At 40.8% G+C, this 24,335-nt stretch overlaps 1 protein-coding gene and 1 long non-coding RNA gene across 6 annotated transcripts in view, besides 5 other annotated features; one reads left to right on the plus strand and one right to left on the minus strand.

Annotated features, from left to right (window-relative positions):
- Nucleotides 1-23,080, minus strand: part of LOC112268038 (uncharacterized) — a 50,346-nt gene extending 27,266 nt beyond the window's left edge. Inside the window, exons 1-3 of one of the 2 annotated variants that reach the window (XR_002956867.2) lie at nucleotides 22,506-23,080; nucleotides 4,084-4,140; nucleotides 1,392-3,808 (exon numbers count right to left, since the gene is read on the minus strand). This is a non-coding gene — a long non-coding RNA (uncharacterized LOC112268038). Of the gene's footprint in view, nucleotides 1-1,391; nucleotides 3,809-4,083; nucleotides 4,141-22,505 lie in introns of those variants that run through there. The other variant, XR_002956866.2, reaches the window with a different exon arrangement.
- Nucleotides 21,780-22,684: an enhancer, noted in NCBI's record as "NANOG-H3K27ac-H3K4me1 hESC enhancer chr9:108006574-108007478 (GRCh37/hg19 assembly coordinates)". NCBI's record gives its function as "activates a minimal SCP1, AML or CMV promoter by ChIP-STARR-seq in primed H9 embryonic stem cells {active_cell/tissue: H9 hESC(primed)}" and the evidence as "EXISTENCE:reporter gene assay evidence [ECO:0000049][PMID:30033119]".
- Nucleotides 21,911-22,510: a silencer, noted in NCBI's record as "silent region_20150". NCBI's record gives its function as "represses an Ori minimal core promoter by ATAC-STARR-seq in GM12878 lymphoblastoid cells {active_cell/tissue: GM12878}" and the evidence as "EXISTENCE:reporter gene assay evidence [ECO:0000049][PMID:35858748]".
- The window catches only part of SLC44A1 (solute carrier family 44 member 1), a 193,854-nt gene continuing 191,656 nt past the window's right edge, over nucleotides 22,138-24,335 (plus strand). For all 4 annotated transcript variants that reach the window (NM_001330731.2, NM_080546.5, NM_001286730.2 and 1 more), the window contains exon 1: nucleotides 22,138-22,391. In NM_001330731.2, coding sequence (NP_001317660.1) covers nucleotides 22,356-22,391 — 36 coding nt within the window. In that variant the 5' untranslated portion in view covers nucleotides 22,138-22,355. The remainder of the gene's footprint in view (nucleotides 22,392-24,335) is intronic.
- Nucleotides 22,521-22,660: a silencer, noted in NCBI's record as "silent region_20151". NCBI's record gives its function as "represses an Ori minimal core promoter by ATAC-STARR-seq in GM12878 lymphoblastoid cells {active_cell/tissue: GM12878}" and the evidence as "EXISTENCE:reporter gene assay evidence [ECO:0000049][PMID:35858748]".
- Nucleotides 22,685-23,588: an enhancer, noted in NCBI's record as "NANOG-H3K27ac-H3K4me1 hESC enhancer chr9:108007479-108008382 (GRCh37/hg19 assembly coordinates)". NCBI's record gives its function as "activates a minimal SCP1, AML or CMV promoter by ChIP-STARR-seq in primed H9 embryonic stem cells {active_cell/tissue: H9 hESC(primed)}" and the evidence as "EXISTENCE:reporter gene assay evidence [ECO:0000049][PMID:30033119]".
- Nucleotides 23,001-23,080: a silencer, noted in NCBI's record as "silent region_20152". NCBI's record gives its function as "represses an Ori minimal core promoter by ATAC-STARR-seq in GM12878 lymphoblastoid cells {active_cell/tissue: GM12878}" and the evidence as "EXISTENCE:reporter gene assay evidence [ECO:0000049][PMID:35858748]".

A 24,335-nucleotide genomic window follows, 5' to 3' on the forward strand; every position in this document is an offset into this window, starting at 1 on the left:
GGAATGTGTCCAGTATTTTCTAAAAGCACAGCTAGAAAAACATCCTAAACCTGCTAGTCTGACAATGCCATTCATCAGATAAAACCTTTCAGTGACTTTTAGTTTTTGCAACCTAAAGCACAACACACACACACACACACACACACACACACATTTCCTATCTATGTGAAATTTATATTATAAAAGCATTAATTAAATGTACCAATTCATGTAAAATTTCAAGAAGGAGGTGACGAGAGATGCATGGCAGTATGTACTATCTCACATGGGCAGGGAGATAAGGGAAGGCTTCCCAGAAGAAGCAAAGTTTAAGCTGAAATCTAAGGGTGAGTAATATTTAGTTAAAGAGGTGAGAGAATAGTGAGACAGACACTTGGGGCAACATGGTCAAAAGGCCTCAAGGCAGGAGGGAACAGGCTAAAAGAATGCCTGTGTGATCAAGCTCGATAGAGAAGTGTGGTTCAAGAAGGTAGAGAGGTGGGCAGACTATGTAGATCATGATAAGCAAATTTGACTTCATCCAAAGTAATTAAAAGATACTGAAGGTTTTGAGGTTTTTTTGTTTTTGTTTTTGTTTTTGTTTTGAGATAGTTTAGCAAGACTTGTTTCTCCAGATGCGGGTCACAAAGACCCCATTGATAAAATAGGATGTGGTAAGGAAACCAGCCCAAACCAGCCAGTATCAAGATGGTGATAAAAGCAACCTCTAGTTATCCTCACTGCTTATTATACACTAATTATAATAAATTAGCATGCTAAAAGAGACTAAAGAGACTCTCATAAGCACCATGATGGTTTACAGATGCCATGACAACTCACAGGAGTTACCCTATATGGTCTAAAAAGGGGAGGAACCCTCAGTTCCAAGAATTCCCTGCACCTTTCCTGGAAAACTCAATAATAATTCACCCCTTGTTTAGCATATGATCAAGAAATAACCATAAAAATAGCCAACTAGCAACCCTTGGGGCTGCTCTGCCTATGAAGTAGCCACCCTTTTATTCTTTTCCCTTCTTCATAGACTTGCTTTCACTTTACTGTCAGCTTGCTCTTGAATTCTTTTCTGCATGAAGTCAAGAACCCATGTGACCTCCCAGGTTGAGGTTCAATTTTGGGGTTCACCCTGTGACATTATAAGATACTTGATTGGTAGTTTTTGTTCTTTCAGCACCTTGAATATTTTATCCCATTGCTTTCTGGCCTCCATTGTTTCTGATGAAAAATCATCTGTTATCTTATTGAGGTTCCCTTGAATGTGATAAGTCATTTTTCTCCTTTTTTGGGAGTCTTTCCCCCATGATTTTTGTGTAGAGTGGGGTCTTGTTATATTGCCCAGGCTGGTCTCAAACTCCTGGGCTCAAGCTATCCTCCTGCCTCTGCCTACGCCTGGCTCATTTTTCTCTTGCTGCTTTCAAATTTTTCCCTTTGAAAATTTCTCTTTCAACATTTTTACTGTCACGTGTCTGGGTGTGGATTTCTTTGCATTTGTTCTACTTGGAGCTCTTCAAACTTCTTGGATTGTAGATTTCTCTGAGCCTCTGTTTATTTTTCTTCTTTCTTTTTTCTGTTTGTTCTTTAGTCACATAATCTCTATCAGTCCATCTTCAAGTTTGCTGATTCTTCTGCTAGTTCCAATCTACTGTTGAATGTGTCTAGTGAAATTCTAATTTTAGTTATTACACTTTCCAAATTTAGAATTCCAAATTTTCATTTGGTTAATTTTTTATAATTTATATCTGTTTACTGATCTTCTCTATTCAATGACATGTTGACATTATACCTTTCTTTACTTCATTAAGCATGGTTTTCTTTAGTTCTTTGAACATACTTATAATGCCTGCTTTGAACACTTTGTCCATCACATCTGACATCTGGGCCATCCTTCTCAAGGCAATTCTATTGCCTGATTTACTGCCTATGTATGGGTCATGCTTTCCTGTTTCTTTGTATGTCTTTGTATAGACATTTCAGGTAATAGATTGTAGCAATTCTAGATATTGAGTACCCCCTCAACTCCAGGGCTTATTTTTGTTCCTTTTTGCTTATTTATTTAGTGACTTGCTTAGATAATTTTAATAAAGTCTATTTCCCTCACAGTGTGAAGCCTCTGATGTTGCTCCTCAGAGGACATACACAGACTTGGACATGAACAGTAACTGTGGGGTGACAGTAGTTTCCGCAGGACTCTCTTTATCTCTCTTTCCTTGATCCCTCTGTTAAGCTACCTGCTTTTGTTAGACACTGCCTAATTGTCAGGTGATTGCTTTTTTTTTTTTTTTGGACAATGCCCTGGGACATAAATTGCTCCGCAGTCTGATCCAATTAGATTTAAACCCCAGAAAAATAGAGGTAGTTTCTAAGCCCAGTTTTTGAGGTTTGTTGTGACTCCAAGAGGATTCCTCTTAGTTGTCTCTTTCCCTGGTTCTCTCTAGTAAGCTAACTGGTCTATGGCTCAGCTTCCTGCTCCCATGGAGTTACCAGCCTTCTCTTAACTGTTTACCACCAAAATCTCCATTGTATTTGAGAGAATTTTTAGACTTGAGCTTTCCCATATTCTACTTTAAATAAAGTCAGTTTCTTTGGGGAGAGTGTTAGAGCTCTCTGTTCTTAGGGACTTCCTCTTCTCCAGGGCAGAATATCTGAGCCACTGCCCTGAAAGTGAGGACAGGGACAGTAGCCTGCTTCTCTTGAACTGACACCCCTGCTTTACAAACAAGGTAGAAGATGGGAATGGTAGCTTCAGATCTTGTCTTGCCTCTCCTGGCATGAAACCTCCACCCTAAAAGTAAGCTGGAACAAGGACTACTGTGACCCCAGTACTCTTGACCTCCCATGCCTAGGACAGAGCCTCCATCTATGAGTGGGAGTTGGGTGGAGGAAGGGAGCCCCTCATCCCTCAGCCACACTCACCAGGAATTTAGCTTCTGCAATTCAGAGGTGGGTGATGAAAAATGCTAGTGGCCTGCCCTTCCTAGAGTGCTACTATATCCCTTGACTAGGAGCAGAGGGGAGAGGAGCCCCATTTTCTTGGTGATATTTGACCAGATTGCAACTTCTGTCATCAGGTTGAGATGGGAAGGGAGGAGGGAGGGGGTGGGTTGTGCCAAAGATTCCTTTTGTTTCTGCCAAGATCTAATAGATTTTCTTTAATAAATGTTTCTTCATTTGCTATATGCTCTTAGGACAATTTCCAGGGATTTATAAATGATTGGGTTTTTAAAAAATATATAACGCTCAATAGTTATGGCTGACTCTGGGGAGTGGGTACATAGAGCTCCTTACACTGCTGTTCCACAAGTGGAACTTCTGAGAGGCTTAAGGAGGGGATTTAATGATCAAAAGATCCTTCTGACTATTGGGTGAAGAATGGATCAAAGGGAGATCAAAGTATAAGCAGAAACACCAGTTAGAGGATACATTGAGTTGTCCGAAAGAGAAAGAAAAGTAGTGACTAAAGAGGTGGTGTGAAAATGGCAAAATAACGACCACATCTTTTGTTTATCATTGTAATTCTAGCACCCAGCACATGGTGGGCACTTAATAAATACTTGTTGAGTGAAAGAGTGACTGCTACCCACCTTAGAACTAAACCTTTACATTATCAAGCTTCTCATCATTGACTTCTCTTTTGCTCTGTTGCTGGATTATGGTAAGACTTGTTTTGTGGAAAGGCTGAAAAATTATAGTAGAAATTCTAGTATATGAAGAAGCCTTTGTGTAGGCTGACATGAGTCACCTCATCTGAGCCAGGAAAGCTTTTCAGAAGATAAAACATTTCATCAGGTCCTGAAGTGTGACACTGGTGATGCTATAGAAGAAAAGGGGGGAAATCTCAAACTCTGCTATGTTTTGTTAGACAAAAGCAACATCTTAATTAGCAGAAAATCTCTGGAATATTTGTCACATTTATAATTCTAGTAAATTTATCTGTTTCCTTTCCTTGGTGTCCTTAAATGTAAACTAAGAAGGTTAAATTAGCTGATCTGTACGGATTCAGCAGCTCTAACGTTCTAAGAGTCTATGCATCCATGAATGAAAGTCTGCAAGGAATAAATAACGAAAGGAACAAAATGCTCTTCCTACCTGGATTATGTATTGTTTCCTTTTTCCCCTTGAATTTCACACACATGAAATTATAGTCTAGAAGAGAACAGATAAAACATAGTTTTATTGAGCAAATAATCACTATTTCAGTAATTGGCAAAGATTAAAACATTTCAGCAACATCTTTTTTTTTTTTTTTTGGGACGGAGTCTTACTCTGTTGCCCAGGCTGGAGTGCAATGGCGTGATCTCTGCTCACCGCAACCCCTGCCTCCTGGGTTCAAGTGATTCTCCTGCCTCAGCCTCCCAAGTAGCTGGGATTACAGGCACGCACCACCACACCTGGCTAATTTTTTGTATTTTTAGTAGAGACAGGGTTTCACCATGTTGGCCAGGCCAGTCTCAAACTCCTGACCTCGTGATCAGGAGGCCTTCCAAAGTGCTGGGATTACAGGTGTGAACCACCATGCCTGGCCCACTTCAGCAACATCTAAATGAATAAACACAAATCCAATCTTCTGCCTCTTTCCTGTACTTATTTGATTTCAAATAATAATTTCCATTTTCAAACGCTTTAAAAATTTTTGGTGGTCAATGGATTATTTGAAACTCATTAGATACATGAGCACCCTCTGAAACACACATAGAAAAATATATATACCCTCATGTATCCATGCAACTTGAAGAGGTTTCCCAAACCTTAAGGGCCCTGGGTTCCAGAGTAAGTTTATATTGTAATTTACAATTTAAAAAGGGCATTTTGTATCTTGCTTAACACACAACTCTGTAAGTAAAGCAATATTAACTTCATCTTACATATGAAGAAATTGGAACTTAGAAGCGTTTACCATTCATCTTTTTCCAGGAAGGTAAGAGAAAACACTGAGGCTGCTTTTTTTCCCAGAGTGCTGATAGCCTCCCATGGCAAGGGAGAAGGAAATCAAAGCCAATCTCCATCCCAAATAGAATCTCGAAGGAGGGACCCCTTCACTCCAATGAAGATAGGGTACCAAAGGTTTATACCTCTCCCCTACTCCAAGGGCTACAAGAAAAATACCTTGTTGCTAAGCCTAAGAGAGAGGGAAAAGGACTGAAAAGCTTCGACAAGTTAATCATCACTCAAATTTGCAGCCTACAGACACATCACTGAATTTGATTAGTCAAAAAAAATTGTCAGCTTCTGAATTTATTTAAAAATTGTTCTGAATTGTTAATGCCTTTGAACACCAAATAATCAAATACGTATCCACTCTAGAGGAAAACACCTTTATCCTAGACCAGAAAAAAAACCCACATATCATTTTTCAGATAAATAAGCAGCACACAGTCAAAAATAATCAAGCACACAAGCAAGATACCATGAACAAGAACTTTTAGAAACCACAGAACAAATAGAAAATATACCAGATTTTCACATATTTCTGATGTTGGAATTATGAGACTTAGGCTATAGAACAACATACTTACAACAACTATGCCTATTTTTTTAAGAGCTGGGGAAGGAGGTTGTCTGTGTGTGTGTGTGTGTGTGTGTGTGTGTGTGTTTGTGTGTGTGTGTGTTTTAATACTTGGAGAAAGCTCACTTCTGACTGGAGAAAAAGTATAAGGGATAAAGTAACCTAACAAATTTGAAAAAGAACCAAAATGAATGTCTATAAATACAAATTATAATAACCAAAATTAAATACTGAATAACATTAAATATAACTGAAGACAGAATAAGTAAACTAAATGTAGGTTAGAAAAAATTATTCACAATATCACAAGAGATAAAAATAAGGAAACTATGAGCATTCAGAGACATGAAGTGTAGAACAAGGTCTGATGTACACTCCACTGAAGCTCCACAAGGAGAAGGAGACAGAATGGTTGTTAATTTTCTTATAGCTCTTTATTTTTTATTATAAAATTATTTAAGCATACATGAAAGAAAAAAGTAGATAATAGTACTATAAACTGTATATGCCTATTACCCAGACTTCACAGTTATCAAGATTTTGCCACATTTGTTTATTTTCTTTCTTTATTTTTATTTCCTTCTTTGTTAAAATATGTTAAAGCCATTCCCAGATGTCATATTGTTTTGCTTTTATAGGCAATATTTGAATTTTGAATTGCTAGGAATTTTCTAAGACTAATAAAAGGTACTACCCACACAGATTCAAAAATCCCAACCATTCCCAAGCAGGATAAGCAAAAATAAATCCACATCTGGACACTGTACAGAAACTTCAGAATATCAAGACAAAGAGAAACTCTAAAAAGCAGCCATGGGTTTACATAACTTGCTCAAGGCCATGCAGCTAATAAATGACAGAGTCAAGCCTCCTTTCAGGGCCTATTTATTTCTAAATTCAGCATCTTCCCTTAATAGTACACTAAACCTCTATACTAAACTCATTGCTTGGGTATCATTCAGAGAATTGATATACTTACCTTAATAAACATATCTCTCAGTATATTTTTCTTTTACAGTAATTTCTTCTAACCTATTTTTAGTTTTCTTATTCTGTCTTCAGTTATATTTAATGTTACATTTACATTCTCCTTCAGAATTGGGACCAGAAAGAACTAACATTCAGTCTCTTACTGGTGGGTTTTTACCTAAGGATTAAGAGTAGGCAGAGACCCTACAGCTCAATGACTTTAAGTCTTCATTTTATAGATGAGAAAACTGGGTCCTAAGTGAACAGACTTGGCTGAGGATAACAGCTAACATATCATTGCCCAGACATACAGGAAGCTTATGCTTGTGATGGAAACGGCTAACCATGTCCAAAATTTCTCAGAGAGCTAGTACACAGAAGGAATTTTTTTTGAAGTTAGAAAAAAAATTTCATCTGATCTGAAAAAGTTGGGCTTGTCAATATTTCTTTAATTTCCTAATGAGAGAAATAAATTGGTTATCCTTAAAACAAGCAGTTGTAGAAGTAAATGAATGCCTTCACCCTGGTAAGGTTGGGAGCAATCAAAGAGTTGGTGGAGTAAAAGCCACTAACAGTTGAGGATTAAAGGAACCGTGGGAGAAGACAAAATGACATTTAATTCCAGCCTAGACCAGATATTGTTGGAAAGCGTGAGCTGTACAGAACATTTTAATCAGACTTTGTAACTTTGTATGTAAGATCAGGATTCAGCGATTGGTGAGTTGAAGATTCACCAAAAATTACCAACATTTTAAAAATAACTTCTTTTTAATTTTTAGAAGTTATACATGCTTATTACAGGAATTTTAGAAAATACTGAAAAATATAATAAATAATAAACATTTTAAAAGATATATAAGAAATACAATTTAAAGTGCAATAAGACCAGGTGCAGTGACTCACTCCTGTAATCCCAGCACTTTGGGAGGTCGAGGTGAGTGGATCACCTGAGGTCAGGAGTTCGAGACCAGCCTGGCCAACATGGTGAAACCCCGTCTCTATTAAAAATACAAAAAAAATTAGCCAGGTGTGGTGGTGCATGCCTATAATCCCAGCTACTTGGGAGGCTAAGGCAGGAGAATCGCTTGAATCCAGGAGGCAGAGGTTGCAGTGAGCTGAGATCGCGCCATTGTACTCCAGCCTGGGCAACAAGAGCGAAACTCCATCTCAAAAAATAAATAAATAAAAAATAAAAATAAAAAAATAAAGTGCAATAAAATAAAAATAATCAATAACTCAGTAAATAAAAGTTATACCAGTAACTAATGATACATTGCTAATGTATCATTTTCTTCTCATCTTTCTTCTATGCACATAAATATGTTTTTACTATCACCGTGATAAACACCCTCATTCATAAATCTTTGACCATAATTTTGTTTATTTCCTTTGAATAAGCTCCTAGAAGCGAGGATATAAAGGTAAGAGCTTTGTACAGTTCACGATATATTACCAAACTGACTTTCAGAATGGTTGTAACAAACTACATTTCTAAGAACTTTATTCAAAGTGGAGTCCCACACAAGAGGATTTGTTTGTTCAGCTATGGTAAAGCATATGATGGACTATTATGTAGCCATTGAAAATCATACTTTTGAATCCTATATAAGATGCGGAAAATGCTTACACTGTAACATTAGGTTAAAAAGTAGGATACAAAACATTATACACAACACGATCCGAATTTTGTTCAAAAAACTACATATACATTTAGAAAACACACATACGTATACACATAAAATAAACTGAAAGGCCAAACACCAAAATATTAATAATGGTCAGCGGGGAACACAGAGTTGTTGTAAAACAGCAGAGTTGTTAAGAGATTAGGCTTCCAGTCAAACAGAGCTGTGTCTGAATCCTGGCCTGCCACTTACAAGCTCAGGTTTACAACCTTGAGCTACTTCTGTAACTTCTATAGGACTCAGTAACCTCCTCTAAAAAAAAATATGAAAAATGTGGCTGGGCACGGTGGCTCATGCCTGTAATCCCAGCACTTTGGGAGGCCAAGGAGGGTGGATCACCTGAGGCTGAGATTTGGAGACCAGCCTAACCAACATGGAGAAACCCCGTCTCCACTAAAAATACAAAATTAGCCGGGCGAGGTGGCGCATGCCTGTAATCCCAGCTACTCAGGAGGCTGAGGCAGGACAATCGCTTGAACCCGGGAGGCAGAGGTTGCAGTAAGCCGAGATCGCGCCATTGCACTCCAGCCTGGGCAACAAGAGCGAAACTCTGTCTCAAAAAAAAGAAAAGAAAAATGTAAAACCTGAAACTACTTCATAGGTTCCCAGGAAGGATTAAAATAAATGGAATGAATGTAGGACTCCTGAGATAGAGTAATCAATAAATGATAGTTATTTTTGTCTTTTGGATAGCATGACTATAGGGGGTTTTATTGTCTTTGGTATACCTCTTTTTACATTTTTTTAATTTTTTGGAGACAGAGTCTCACTCTGTTGCCCAGGTTGGAGTGCGGGGGCACTATCTCGGCTCACTGCAACCTCCGCTGCCTGAGTTCAGGCAATTCTCGTGCTTTAGCCTCCTTAGTAGCTGGGATTACAGGCATGTGCCACCATGCCCAGCTAATTTTTTTTATTTTTTAGTAGAGACAGGGTTTCACCATGTTGGCTAGCCTGGTTAGGAACTCCTGGCCTCAAGGAGTGATCTGCCACCTCGGCCTTCCAAAGTGCTGGGATTACAGGCTTGAGCTACCTTGCCCAGCCTCTTTTGTTTACTTTTAAAAACACTTTTGTATATTTTCTAAATTAAAAGGCACCAAAACTATTATCACAGAAAAAAAATTTTTTAAAGATAATACTACTTTTTTCTTTTTTTTTTCAAGATGGAGTCTCACTCTGTCGCCCAGGCTGGAGTGCCGTGGTGCAATCTCAGCTCACTGTAGGTTCAAGCAATTCTCCTGCATCAGCCTCCCAAGTAGCTGGGACTACAGGCATGTGCCACCACACCCGGCTAATTTTTGTATGTGTAGTGGAGACGGGGTTTCACCATGTTGGCCAGGCTGGTCTCGAACTCCTGACATCAGGTGATCCACCCACCTTGGCCTCCCAAAGTGCTGGGATTACAGGCGTGAGCCACCGCACCTGGCCTGATAATACTACTTCTTTATTGGGGAATTAAGTAATATTTCCATGTCATTGTTTCTCTCTCTGCAAAAAAAAAAAAGAAAAGAAAAGAAAGAAAAAAGTAAAATTCTAGGAACCTCTCAAGTTTTAAAAGACCTGTAGTGAAATAATAGTAGTTTACAGGTATGCAATTCTTACTATCTGCCAGGAACTATGCACTGGTATTCCAAGGGCAGAGCAGTGGAAGAGCCTAGTCTGGTGCAACAATAGGGGGTGAATTGTCTGCAGACAATGTGAAAAAGCAATAAAACCTCATTTGTCTGCTTTTTATTATCACCATGTGCCCATAATTTTAAACAATGTTGGCCAGGCACAGTGACTCATACCTGTAATCCCAACATTGCAGTCCAGCCTGAGCAACAGAACAAGACCCCAAATGAGAAAACAAAACAAAACAAAAAGCAATGTCAGTAATAAAAATACTCTTCCTTAAAAAAAAATTTGGTTGATCTACCTTCAAAACTATTGAATTTTAATAATGTGGTGTGTGTGTATATATACATACTTATAGATATATATTATATATATCTAATACTTATATTTATATGTGTGTATATATATGCTTCAAATTAGCAAACATTACTTATGTCTTACCAAGCATTATATTCTACATGGAAACAAATCCAGACAACCACTAGTTATGCATCCACCCAGACACACGTGGACATGGCTGCATGGGCTTGCTTCAAGAGTAAGTTCATAATGGTTAGGAACTGTTCAAACTCATTGAGGTCATTGTTCATGTCCCAAATCCCTGTAGTACAATATATCTCTACACTTAAACAGTAGACATAAATAATGATAGCACGGTGTTTCTCAAGACGAAGAAGTAAAACTGGATTAATTCAATTTAATCATGCTATATGACAATTTGTACATTTAATTTGGGTTTAAAAATTTAAAAAGTGAAACAGTATAAACTGCAAGGTGTAATACCTTTAGACAGTATACATTTCAGTTCATACAAAACATACATTTTCATTTTTAAAAATTGAAATGTATTATTTTAAATTGTTCATTGCTTCTAACTAAAGAATAAGAAAATGATGATTACTGTTAATAGTTTTGTCATTCTCGTGTCAAGCATGCCAGACACACCATTGTAACCTTGCAAAGTGCTCTCCCTCATTTAATAATCATGATGCAATGTCATAGATGAGGAGTTCTGAGAACTTCTGTAGCTTGGGCAGGGTCCCATAGCTAGAATTTGCTGGACTGGTTATCAGTCCCACAGTTGTCTCACTCCTAAGCCCAAGATTGTAACCAGTGCGTCAAGATGTTTGAGTTGCTAACAACAAAGGCAAAGTGAGGAATAAAGGTTTTTGAGCTTCAGGTTCATTTTGAAAAAGGAGACTTGCTTCAAGGAAGTTCATTACTTTTGCCAAGAACCTCGGTTTTTAGATTGTCAATTATCTGTACCAATACTCTCCTAAGCAATTACCCAGGGGCGTGAAGGAGTTTATGCACCTTTCCATAGGAAGCAATTTACTTTCCTTTCTCAGGACAAAAAAAAAAAAAAAAAAAAAAAAAAAAAAAAAAAAAAAAAGGCCCATTAGCCTTCTAACAAAGGCATTTTCTCATGTCACATAATAGAAATTTAATTTTTTTCTAAATAATGTTAAAATAATAAAGAGGATCTATTTTTGGAGTTGAGACAAGGATGTAATAATGAGCCAAATGGGCTTTCTCAATAGGTTAATACCTGAAGGCACTGGTGCTCACTCTGTATTACATGTGCCTTGACATTTACTTCCTAGAGAGGTGCCAACATTTACAGTGTTTTTAAATGCAAGACTGCTCTCAAGCCACAACTTTTAATTCCAATGTGACATTATCCTTTCCTTTCCCCTGAAGTCATGAATGAGTTGTGGTTGGCAACACATGAAGAAAATTGCTGATATCAGGAAAAGGTCTGGTAATAGAATCAGAATTTAAATGCTGGGAAGTGTTGGGATCAGGTTACTAAATCTTTTCTCTGGCAAAATTTCAACTAGAACTTTCAGCAGAAAGTCTCACTATGGAAGGCCTTACATTTCCAGGAAGGTACTTGTGTTGGCAGAAAGAGGGGCTAGAAGAATAAATAAGAATTCAGACCTCAACATTCATTGAGGGTGTGTTACATGTCCTGAAGGCTCTCATACTTTTACCTTCACAACAGTCTCATGAGAGTTCTGTTTGTTCCTATTTTATAGATAGAAAAAGTGCTTTTTTTTTTTTTTTTTGAGACAGTGTCTCACTCTGTCACCCAGGCTGGAGTGCAATGGCATGATCATAGCTCACTGCAGCCTCAACCTCCTGGACTCAAGCAATCCTCCCACTTCAGCCTCCAGAGTAGCTGAGACTTCTGGCATGCACCATCATGCTGGCTAATTTTTAAATTTTTTGTACAGATGAGATCCCACTATGTTGCCCAGGCTGGTCTTGAACTGGGCTCAAGCGATCCTCCCACCTCGAACTCCCAAAGTGCTACTACTGCAGGCATGAGCCACTGTGCCTGGCGAAAAATTGCTTTTAGCAGAGGCTGAGGGACTTGCCCAAGGTCTCATAACTAGTAGATGGTAAAATGGATATGTTAGCTCAATTGTCTCAAGTCTAGGGCTTTTCCCATCATGCTACAGTTGCCTCTCCACACTATGGCCACTTCCATGTCCAACATGGCATTATCAAGTTATGAAAAGAAATCACATGGACTATGGCATCAGACAGCTTGAGTTTGGACGCTAACCTTGCTACTTAATAGCTATTGGACAGTGTACAAATTATCTCTTGGAGCAGTGACAATGGCAATGCTTACCAAATAATCCACTTCTTCTACATTTCATCCCCCTTTGACAATGTGAGGACATGTGACTACTACTAACCAGTAAAATGCAACCAAAAGTGGTATGTGTCATTTCTAGGCTGAGGCAGTAAAAATTCCATGGGTAATTATCCAACACTCTCTTCTTGCAGAGAGAGGGTTAGAAGACTTCAAGTTACACAGGGTGCAGCTAAAATACCTTAGAAGGCTGGGCGCGGTGGCTCATGCCTGTTATCCCAGCACTTTGGGAGGCCAAGGCAGGTGGATCATCTGAGGCCAGGAGTTCAAGACCAGCCTGGACAACATGGCGAACCCCTGTCTCTACTAAAAATACAAAAATTTGCAGGGCATGGTGGCATGCACCTGTAATACCAGCTACTCAGGAGGCTGAGGCAGGAGAATCGCTTGAACCCTGGGAGGTGGAGGTTGCAGTGAGCCAGGATCGTGCCACTGCACTCCAGCCTGGGCGACAGAGTGAGACTCCATCTCAAAAAAATAAAATACAATATCTTAGAGACTTCATAAGCCTGGACACCTGAATGACTATGTAAAGCAGACAGTATTATTGCCATCTCTCCCTCTGGACCAACTGCTGTGTCATACATACTATGAGGGAGAAATAAACTTTCTCCTATTAAACCACCTAGGTTTGAGAATTAGTTTGTTATAGCAGCATAATACAGTCTATCAAGACTATTTTTATATCTCATTTGACTAATCTCTAAAATAGTAATAATAATTTTTACTTAATAGACTTACTGTAAGGATGAAGCAGGACTTTTATATGTTATACCTGAATACATTATCAGTCTACCAAGAGGTAAGAAAAAAGTTGAATATATGGCAATCTTGGTGACTTGTTATCTGTTTTTTTTTTCCCAAAATTATAGGAAACTGGACTACATGATCTTCAAAGATTCTGTGCCAGCAACTGCAATGTCCTGCTACTTCTCAACTCTACATTTCTCTTTACCTCAGAATTTGGTTATTCAGGTGTTCAACCCAGATTTATCAGTGATTATTCTCTGTCAAATGCTGTGCTGGGAATTGACCTCAAGAGTGGTCTATAAGAAGGGACAACCAGGGCCAGGCATGGTGGCTCATGCCTGTAATCCCAGCAATTTGGGAGACTGAGGCAGGTAGATCACTTGAGGTCAGGAGTTTGAGACTAACTTGGCCAACATGGTGAAACCCTGTCTCTACTAAAAATACACACACAAAAAAAGTTAGCCGAGCATGGTGGTGCACACCTGTAATCCCAGCTACTTGGGAGGCTGAGACAGGAGAATTGCTTGAACCTGGGAGGCGGATGTTGCAGTGAGCCAAAATCGTGCCATTGCACTCCAGCCTGGGAGACAGAGCAAGAAAAAGAAGGGACAATCTGGATTTCTCCTGAATTTAAACTGAAGACAGGGTATACATTTTTGGGGGATGGAGAGAAGACGGTCTGGAGAACCTTAGCATAGTTTCTCTTTCCTACTTTTGAGGAAGCCATAAATGAAACTCTCCAGGAAGGAGCATAGGGAAGCTAGTGACAGTCATGAGCAGGCCCTTTGGGAGGGGAACAGCATGTCATTTTTGCTTTAGTACTCTTTTAAAATGTCTTTCTACATCCCTGCAACTAGCTGAGGGGGAGTAAGAGAGCAAAACTGTCAGACCAGCAGCATCTTAATTATGGAGATTAGAAATATTTTATGCAATTGACACAGCCTCTCCTAAATTACATAGTATTAGGGAAAACGACTCTGTCTAGCACCAATGAAAAAGGAAGAAAGGACATCTCTGAGAAAGAACAGGTGGATTTTGACAGTTTGTCCAATAAAATAATAATAGGGAAAGAAACTTCAAAAACCAAGCCAATAGTACACTTTTCATTGCCTTACACAAATCTCTTAACAGGACTTGAGGGAAGCTGGGAATGATTGTAGCTAAACTTCAAATTGCTAGTCCAGCAATGTGTGCAGACCCTGTAGCCCGCTCTGCCTCCCCATTCCTCCATGTTGTTCTGTAGCACCACACTAGGAGACAAACTATTGGAGCACTTGGGAAGTGAGTAAGTTGGTGGTCAAGTCAGGCTTAATTTCCAAGGAGTCTATGTCCTTTGCTCAGTGGGAGAAATATCAGTTAGTATCCCCGAAGTGGTACCTTGGTATTCTCAAAAAGTTCAATTACTTCCCAAGGCCTAGTAATTTCCTGCCAGGCACAGAGCATCTGGTTCTATAAGAATTGAGGCCCACTGAAAGCATTCCGAAGACTGAAGGCTTTGGTAAGGAATATGGAAGACTCCTGTCAATCATACTTAGGCACCATTTTTCTGAATTGGAGAGTTGATGAGTAGGGGCATAGCTCTAACACCTACTGTTTTTATTGTTTAAGCTTTCCTCCCTTTAGTCCTCCCTGTAAGATACCACCATAGTGATCATTTTAAAGCAAAAAGCCTACCGTATTACTACTTTACTCAAAACCCTCTGAATTTCTCTTATCTGTTAGGAGGTACAAATTCCAAGGCCTATGAATGCCAGAGGGTAATGTAGATAGGAAAAACTGGCCCCTGTCAGAAGAGACTTTAGAGAGTGTTTGAAACTGTGACAAACAGAAGAGCTCAAGCCAAGATCTCCCAACCTACATGTTCTTCTTACAGTGTGACATTGATAATTCCTCAAGGGTAGGGTTTGGAGAGCACCGATGGTCCCTTCCCTTGAATCTGAATGGGCCCGTGCCTATAGCAAAAGTGATGCTATGTGCTACCTGAGGCCAGGTTATAAAAGGTAATGCAGGCTGGCCACGGTGGCTCACACCTGTAATCCCAGCACTTTGGGAGGCTGAGGTGGGCAAATCGCCTGAGGTCAGGAGTTCAAGACCAGCCTGGCCAATATGGTGAAAACCCATCTCTACTAAAAAATACAAAAAATTAGCTAGGCGTGATGGCACATGCGTGTAATCCCAGCTACTTGGGAGGCTGAGGCATAAGAATCACATGAACCCAGGGGGTGGAGGTTGCAGTGATCCAACATCACGCCACTGCACTCCAGCTTGGGCAACAAGAGCAAAACTCTGTCTCAAAATAATAATAATAATAACATTAAATAAATAAATAAGTAAAAGGTAATGCAGTGTTAGTCTGGTCCTCTAAAGATGCTCACCCTGGCCGAGCGTGGTGGCTCACGCCTGTAATCCCAGCACTTTGGGAGGCCGAGGCAAGTGGATTAGCTGAGATCAGGAGTTTGAGACCAGCCTGGCCAACATGGTGAAACCCTGACTCTACTAAAAATACAAAAAGTGTGGTGGCAGGTGCCTGTAATTCCAGCTACTCAGGAGGCTGAGGCAGGAGAATTGCTTGAACCCAGGAGGTGGAGGTTGCAGTGAGCCCAGATTGTGCCTTTGCACTCCAGCTTGGGTGACAGTGAGACTGTCTCAAAAAAATAATAATAATAAAATAAATAAAAATAAAAATAATTAAAAAAAAAAGATGCTCACCCTTAGAACTCAGCTACCAAGCTGTGAGGAAACCCAGGTCATGTGGCAAGGCTCCAAGTAGGTATTCTGGCTGATGGCAAACAGTTAGTATCAACCTCCGGGCATGAGTAAACTTCAAGATAACTCCTGCCTCATAGCTAACTGCAATCACCTGACAACCCTCAAGCGAGAACCGCTTAGCTGAGCCTACTCTGTTCCCCCAATGGTGAGAGTTGATGACTGCTGTTGTTTTAAGTCATCAAGTTTTAGTTTGGTTTGGGATACAACAACAGATAACTGGAACATGCAATAGATCTTATTGATTTCTAAGCCTGCACCTTTGCTTAAGTCATTTTATACCTGAGAGTTCTCTTTTTCTCCCATCATCTTCACTTATCCAAAGCTACGTGTTAAGGACCAGCTGAAACACAATTTATGAAGCCTTTCCTAATCATTGCATTTGTGACCTGTTCTTTCCCTGTACTCTGGACACTGTATATGTTCTTCATGATTAACAGGTCATTCAGGAGAACCCCCTCCCTGTCCTTAATAAAATAAAATGTTTTATAATATTAAAATATTTAAATATAGTTTTTTTAAGTACATGCTTTTGTCAAAACTACAAAAAATTCAAAAGTTATAATTCAGAACATGTCTCTCTTCTGTCTGGTTCTATTTCACCACGATTTATCCCCACCTCTTCTCCAAAGGTTACTGCTGTTAACAGATTGGTACATATTCCTCACAACCTCATCTACACAAACATGCACACACGTGCTTGTGCACACACAGTTTACATCACACACACACAACGATTGACATGAACAGGATTCCATCATAATCCTGTTTTGTAAACTACTGTTTTTAGTTGATGGTATATTTTAGTTATGCATAGCCCATGTCATTAAATACAGATTGCTCTTACTTTTTAACAGTTGCATAGTGCTTCCTATTATTTAAGCAATTACTTAACCAATCTTCTGTTTATGGAAATTTAGTTTTCTCTCAATTTGTCCTTATTAAAAACAAAACTGTATTGCTGTTGGATATTCTCAGGGTAAGAACTGCTGGGTTAAAAGAATACACCTTTTACATTTTGATACAAATTCTTAAACTTCTCCCCAGAAAGAGGGTAACTATTTATATCACCATTAATCATGTATAGAGTACTGTGACCTTCTCTCACACTGGTTATTATTAAGCTTTTAAATCTTTGCCAATTTGCTAGGTGAGGAATGATGTCTCCTAATTTTTAAGCTTACAGTTTTATTATTAGTAAGGCTGAGCAACATTTCACGTTTTATTAGTTCTTGTATTTCTTTCACTGTGGATTTTGTCTGTTATGTCCTTTACTCATATTTCTGTGGAGTGGGTTTTTTTTTCTTTTTTCTTTTGGTTTTAAATAGGAGCTTCTTGTGTATTATGTAAACCTTTACATAGACTTTGCAAGTATTATTTATCTCTTTGTCATTTGTATTCATTTTGTAGTATCTTTTGCATGTAGGAGTTTTAAAATGTTTATGTAGTTAATCCTATCTGTCTTTTACTATGGTATTAGGTTAGTGTTATCCAAAGAAAAGCCTTTTATAATTCCAATATTAGAAAAATTATTATTATTATTATTTTTTGACAAAATTTGGCTCTATTGCCTAGGCTGCAGTGCAGTGGTGCCATCTTGGCTTACTGCAACCTCTGCCTCCCAGGCTCAAGCCATCTTCCCATCTTCAGCCTCCTGAGTAGCTGGGACTACAGATGCACACCACGACGCTCGGCTAATTTTTGTATATTTTGTAGAGACAGGATTTCGCCATGTTGCCTAGGCTGGTCTTGAACTCATGAGCTCAAGAGATCTGCCTGCCTCAGCCTCCCAAAGTGCTGGGATTACAGGTATGAGCCACTGTGCCCAGCCAGAAAAATAAACCTATTTTATACCAGAAGTTTTACAGTAAAACAACAGCAACAACAAGTATTTTAAAAAGTAGTAATCTAATATTTAAGATAAGCTTTCCTTTGAGACATTCTAGGCATTTATAAATCTAAATTCCTAGGGACTCATTGACAAAATTCATTCATTCATTGAATAAATATTTATGAAACATTCCTGGATACCAAACTGTTTTCTAGGCTTTTGGTACACAGTGGGAACTTGTCTAGTGGAAGTAAGAAAGGGTTAATAGGGAAAAAAATGTAACAGCATTTTTTAAATAAAAAAAAAAAAATCAATCTTTGTGGACCTCCTTTACGCTTATATAGTATGTGGACTTTTCCCTTTCATTACATTTAAACTATACTCTGTTCTTGGTTTAAATATCTTTCCACCCCTTAAGAATGATCTAAAGGCAAGGAGTGTACTTCGTCTTTGAATCCCAGGCACCCAGCTAGGTATTTGGTTCATTATAATGGCTCAAGACATGCACTGTTAAATAAATAGATTTCCCTACTTTACAAATTTCTTCTTTCCTTCTCAAATTAATACTCATCACCCTGCTTCCATTTCCTCTCCTTCCTCATCCCAGCATCCCAAAATGAAAAACCAACACTAATTTTATGTTGGAAACAGCTCAAATCCCTGAGAACTGATGCATGAGCACAGGCTACTTAATCAAAATCGAACATGCTTAGCTCATAGAAAGCAGTCAATATAAAAATTATTAAATGAATTGAATGACTACAATGTTTAAAAAAGTCATTCAGAAAAGTAGTAGGAGGAAGATACACCCCTCTAAACACAAGTTTATAACAAGCATTTTAAAGAGAATTCATACATTGTTTGATCTTGCAACAAAAATCCAAGTGAAACCACAAATAAAAGCCAGAGTTATTAATAAATATTGGAGGAACATCAACTTACAAGTGTGACCAGAAACAAAGTTGCAGAGCTAAGGACTTAAGAATTGCCAGTCTTGCTGAATACAATGTTGTCTTTTTCTGTTGCATGCCTGAGTTAGGGAAAGCTCTCTTCAGGTAAAGTGGATTTCTAACTTCTGGTTTAACTGGGAGGCTGAGATACATTTCTACCTTCTCAAATAGAGACTGCTCTTGCCTCTCTGGCAATGAATGAACAGTTACAGCCCTTGGTTACAATTAGTTTTGGCTTTTGGAGCATCTCCCTGGGGTGATATGTGAATGCTCAGGAGGAAGAGGTTGTGAGGCAAATCTGGAAGCTAGGGCTCTGCTGAAGCAAATAAGCTCTTGTGGGATGTGACTGTGAGCACAGTATGTGCTAAAATGTAAATAACACAGCCACAGCACCAAATGCCACGGTTTTTAAATTAAGAGGACTATTCTGAGCAGTTATAGACATATACATGTAGAGACGCATTTGTATTTCTGTTACCCCAAAACCTGAAATCATGTGAACAAGAAGTCAGGCTTCATAAAAATCATTGGAAAGACCATTAATTCAATGTTTTCCCTCAGTGAGTGACCAGCACCAAGACCTCCACCTGAAGCTGGAACCCTTGGAATTCACACAGCCAATTATGCAATACCAGACCACTGGGAAGCATTTCTGGCTGGCTCAGCTGGTGATCCGATTTTACCCTGCAGCACCAAGATTGATAGACCTTATAATTTTATCCTGGTTAGCGCAGATGGTTTTTACATAAGTTTCTAAAAACCTCCTTTCTCCCAAAAGAAAAAGAAAAACAACCTAAGCCCCTACGAAGGGGCTTGCCCTGGTAACATCTCACCATAGTAGATAAGTACCCTGATCACTGGCTTAAGAAAAAAAAAATCCCTTTTGTGATTTCTGAGTTTGCTGTGGTTTAATTTCATTGAATGCTGTGTGTACTTGTTTATAAGAGTGAAAAGGAATAGTAATTTGCCCCTCTCTAAATCACTCCTTTTACGAGGCTTTTTTTGGGCATGAGGGGGATGGGAAAGAGACTCATTCTTAGAAGGTACAGCATATCAATGCAAGAGCTGTTAGTTTCCCTCATGCTAATGACGAAGTATAATTTTGAAACATCAGATTCATATGCATATATGGTGCATACATACATAATTGGTGTATTTACAAAGCACCTTGCAGAATCTTAGAACTCTTAGTTCTATTAACACTTAAAGGGAAAACCAGAGTGCAGATCAGTCAAGCACAACGGACTGTAGTTGCTTTCAATTATATTCACCCATTATCTATGTCTAGGAAAGAGATCTCTAAAAAAGCAAAATACATTTTATGAAGCACTGCCACAGTCTGTTACGCATTTATCTCCTTCTACAGTTCCAATTACAGAATAAGCACTAGCTACTACACGGAACGGCAGCACTAGCCAAAAAGATTTTTCTAATCTGAGAGAAATGCTCCCATATTGACTCTGCAAAGAGAAACAACTCCCCTTTCCTTGACTATAAAGAAGGAAGACAGATGGCTTCTTGTTTAGGACTGTAGTTTTACTTTCAGCCTCCTCCCCGAGTTAAAAACAAGATGTACTTTTCTGGCTTTGAGGGAAAATCTCAAGGGAATGTTTTTTATTCTTGGCTGCACTGAATAATTCAACAAACATTTGAGAGAGCTGAGGGAGATACAAAGGAGAAAATACTTTTCCTTGTTCTCAGGGAGTTTACAATCTAATTCTGGAGTTTACAACCAGAATTGGGACTAGAACCATTAGTTTTATGTCTTCACTTGTATTTATTGGTTTAATGGTTATGGGAAACACATGTAGGATTCGCCAGCTCCGTGGTATGGTGGACCCTCTGATTAACCTGAAAGGAAACTAGAAAGAATGCAGAAGAATTCAAGATCTCAATCAGTTGAGTACTTGCTGACCTAGCAGCACTTTCTTATGTTATTTAATCTTGACCACAAGCCTTTGCAGTCATCCCTGCTACCAGCATTTCACAGAAGCGGACAATGAGATTTGGAGAGATAACTCGTCCACAGTCACGAACTCAGGAAATGGCATAGGAAAACATCAATTAGGAATTCTTCTTCCCTGGCCCTTTCTGTAGCTGTCCCCTTACAGGCTACCATTCCAACTTTCCTTGGCTTAGATTCCCTTTCAGTGCATGTAAAGTCAATTTAATTCTGTGTTCTTTTCTTCCCTCTATACTTTAACTAATCTTTAAAACTTGATGTCTCATATTTGGTGAATCAGTCCTTTTGGAAGTCTCACTCCCTTGCAGCTTTGCAAATAAAGTTTTTCTTTTCTTTCCTGTGGCTGTCTTTTGAGACATTCTTTGACAAGATGAAATGACATATGAAGGCTATAACAGTGCCTGATAATGTGGGGTTTTTTTTAACATCATTATCTTTAGTTTTATTTCTTTCACTTTTTAACTGTTTTCACCTCATACTGTATTTCCTAACGACTCGTTTGGAATTGTAAATTTCTTGAAGGTAGTTACCACGTCTACTCTAACTTGTTGCTACTTCCTTGAGTCTTACTGATTTAGCAACAGGAACTTGGTAAGTCTCTTTTGCTCGCCTCTTTATTCCCAGTACTAGTCACTGGAACGTAGTGTGTCTTCAGTAAGTATTTTTAATATGAATAAATTAATGTCCCCTTATTGTTTTTTGTAGACTATCCTGTATAAGAAAGTTTAGCTTAGATCCAGTATGGCTTTGACTTGCGAGCCTGGATAACTTTTTGCCTTTTCCTCATTTCTGGCTATTTATTACCATTTCAACCTTGGGAACATTTCATTAGGTTCTTGGTCCCTTTCAAGCCTCAGTTTCCACATCAGCAAAATGGGGACAGTAGCAACAGATGCTTGTTTCTTCCCGTCTTCTTATCACCTATTCCTTCTCCAGGAAAGGTTTCTTGTGTACGCTTTCCTCTGGAGAAAAAAAACAGCCGACGGGGCGGTAAGAAGCCATCAGGATCCTGAGTTGTGCGTCCAGTAGGGAGAGGGAGAAGTCCCGCTTGCCTCCTAGATCCGGAAGCAATCCGGCCCCTTTTTGGCAGCGAGTTGGCCCGGTCTTTGGCTGCCTCAGACCGCGTTGCCCTCCAGCCTCGAGGCAGAGAGCTGCCTCGGTGCCACAGCTAAATAAGCCCGGCGCCGCGCAGCCTCTGACACGCGCGGAAGGGCCCGGCCTTGTTCTGGCTGCCGCCGCCCTGCCACCAGCACGGCGCTGCACTGGGGGCGGGGAGTCTGATGGGAGACGCGCGCGGCGCTGAGGAGGCGGCGGCCCGGGAGAGGGAGCGGGAGAGGGACTGGGCGCGGGAGGCGGGAGGCGGGGGGACAGAGGGAGGCGCCGCCGCCGCCGCCGCCCGCCCCTTTCCGCTGGGGAGCAGCTGCTGCAGCAGGAGCAGAGCAGGAGACGCGTAGCCGCCGTCGCCGCCGCCGGGGGATGTGGCCGGCGCCTGCCTCTAGCCGCGCCGCCTCTTGAGTACCAGCCGCCGCTGCAGCCGCCGCCGCCGCCTAGCCGTGCGGTGCCAGGCCGCGCCCTCCCCGGGCGCCCGCCGGCTCGCATGCCGAGGGGCTCCGGGGCGTAGCTGCGCGCCCGGCGCCGCCTCCGGGCTCCTTCGGCCCCGCCATGGGCTGCTGCAGCTCCGCCTCCTCCGCCGCGCAGGTGAGGGGCTCCCGCCTCCCGGCCGCCCGCCCGGATGCCTCCCGTGCGCCGCGTCGCGCGGCGGGCGCCCGCCGCCCGATACCTCTCGCTGTCCCCAGCCTCCCCTGAGCGCACCGTGCAGTCCAAAGACCCCCACTCCGCCTTTCCGTCCGCCGGGTCCCGCCGATGCCCGTGCGCTGGCTCCGCGGCTGCCGACTCAAAGGCGCCTCTGCGCGGCGCCTAGTGCGCCCTCAGCTCTTCCCGGCCCCTTCCCCAGTCGGCCCCCTCCTCCCAGTCACACCTGAGCTGCCCGTCCCGCCCGCCTGCAGGTAGAGGCTGCACTGGCGCCTCCTCTGCCCCAGGTGGCATCCCCTTCCCTGTTCTTCCGGGCCTGGCTCCTCTCTTCCACCTCCGTGGAGTCTCCCCGCCATCCGCCGCCCGTTTTCTGTGCTCCTCGCAGGTGTACCCCCAGCAAGAGCTCTTCACCTCTCCCACCGAATTCCAGTTTCTGCTTCATTAGATATTCTGTCCCTTTTCTCTTGCCCGCTGCCCCCTGGCTGGGTTCAGATGGTTTCAGCGGGTCCCGGAGCCCTTCCACGGCCCGCTCCGCAGACCTCGCTTGCTCGCTTGCACCCCATCCCCCCTTAGTGCCGTGACCCGGGCCCCGCGGCCTCCCCGCACTCGGAGGCCCCTGCGGGAGCGCCGACTCTGGGCTGGGAAGGAGATTGGGCACCTGGTGGGTGACGGGAGCGCTACGGAAACTCCCTCTTTGTTGCCAGTGTAACAGGAGGAAGAGGTTCCGAATTTAGTTTTTCTGTGGGCACTGGCTGAATGTTGTCGCTGAGGGCTGAGATGCAGAGATTTCTCTCAGCTTCTACCCTGCCCCCATCCAAATTTCGCCAACCTCCTTCTCTCGGATCCGAGCCCTTAACCTGGGTGGAAATGTTTAGACAACTGTACGAGGATCAAATGTAATAGAACTCGACTACTGGCCACTAATAACTGAGAGGACCTGTTTGTAAATTACCTAATTTAGTGGATTAGCGAGTGTATTTACAAATACTATAAAAAGCAATCAGGAATACTGCATCAAACTGTCTTGTGGTGGTGTATGAAAAATAGGCTCTGACAACGCCTGGGATGTAATCTCACAGTTTCATTAGCGTAGTTTCATTAACTGTGGTCTGTGATTTGTTTGTTTTAGGGGGCAGAAAAGGGCTCTTGTTTTTAGAAATAAAGGATGGTTGGTTCTTGGTGAAGAAAAACGCTAGTTTGGGGGGAAAAAATTCCTCCAGAAAGCTAGCATCTGTGATAATGCCAGAAGTGTTTTTGCTGCTGCTAAATGACTATATATAACTCAGTTTTAAATAACCTGCATACTTGTTCTGAAAATCTGAGATCTGTTAGAGAGAAAATGACTAGAATTGCAGATGAATGGGGGACATTTGTGTTTTATTAGGTATCCATCCTATCATCCTATTCCTCCAGTCTTTTTTTTTTTTTTTTGAGTGTTTGCTTACCCGTTAGCTTTTTTTTTTCCTGCTAGCATTATAGTCAGGCTTTTTGGTGTAGTTAAAGATTCCTATTCAGTTATAATAGCAAAGTAAAACTATACGTAGAGGTGTTAGGAAGGAGAGGCTTGGTATATCAGAGTTTTCATATTAACATATAAAGGTGTAGAATTGCACATAACTTTCAACTGGTTAGGAATTTGTGGGGGTCTAGTTGGGTGCTCTTTAATATTTACTTAAGTATAATTTTCACCAAAAAGGTGTTTTTCAGATTGCCTTTCTTTTCAGAATTGAGTTAATTTACATTCCCTTTTGGTGGTGAAATGCCTTTAAGACAGAAAAGTATTGATAGTTTATGGATAGCTTGTTCAGTGCATGAACAGTTAAATTTGGGAGGGATGGGTGCTGCATCAGAACTCTGCTTTAAAACCGATAGTGGGTCTTGCATTTGTCT

The sequence above is a fragment of the Homo sapiens genome, chromosome 9 (genome assembly GCF_000001405.40).
Source record: "Homo sapiens chromosome 9, GRCh38.p14 Primary Assembly".
Taxonomy (NCBI): Eukaryota; Metazoa; Chordata; class Mammalia; order Primates; family Hominidae; genus Homo; species Homo sapiens.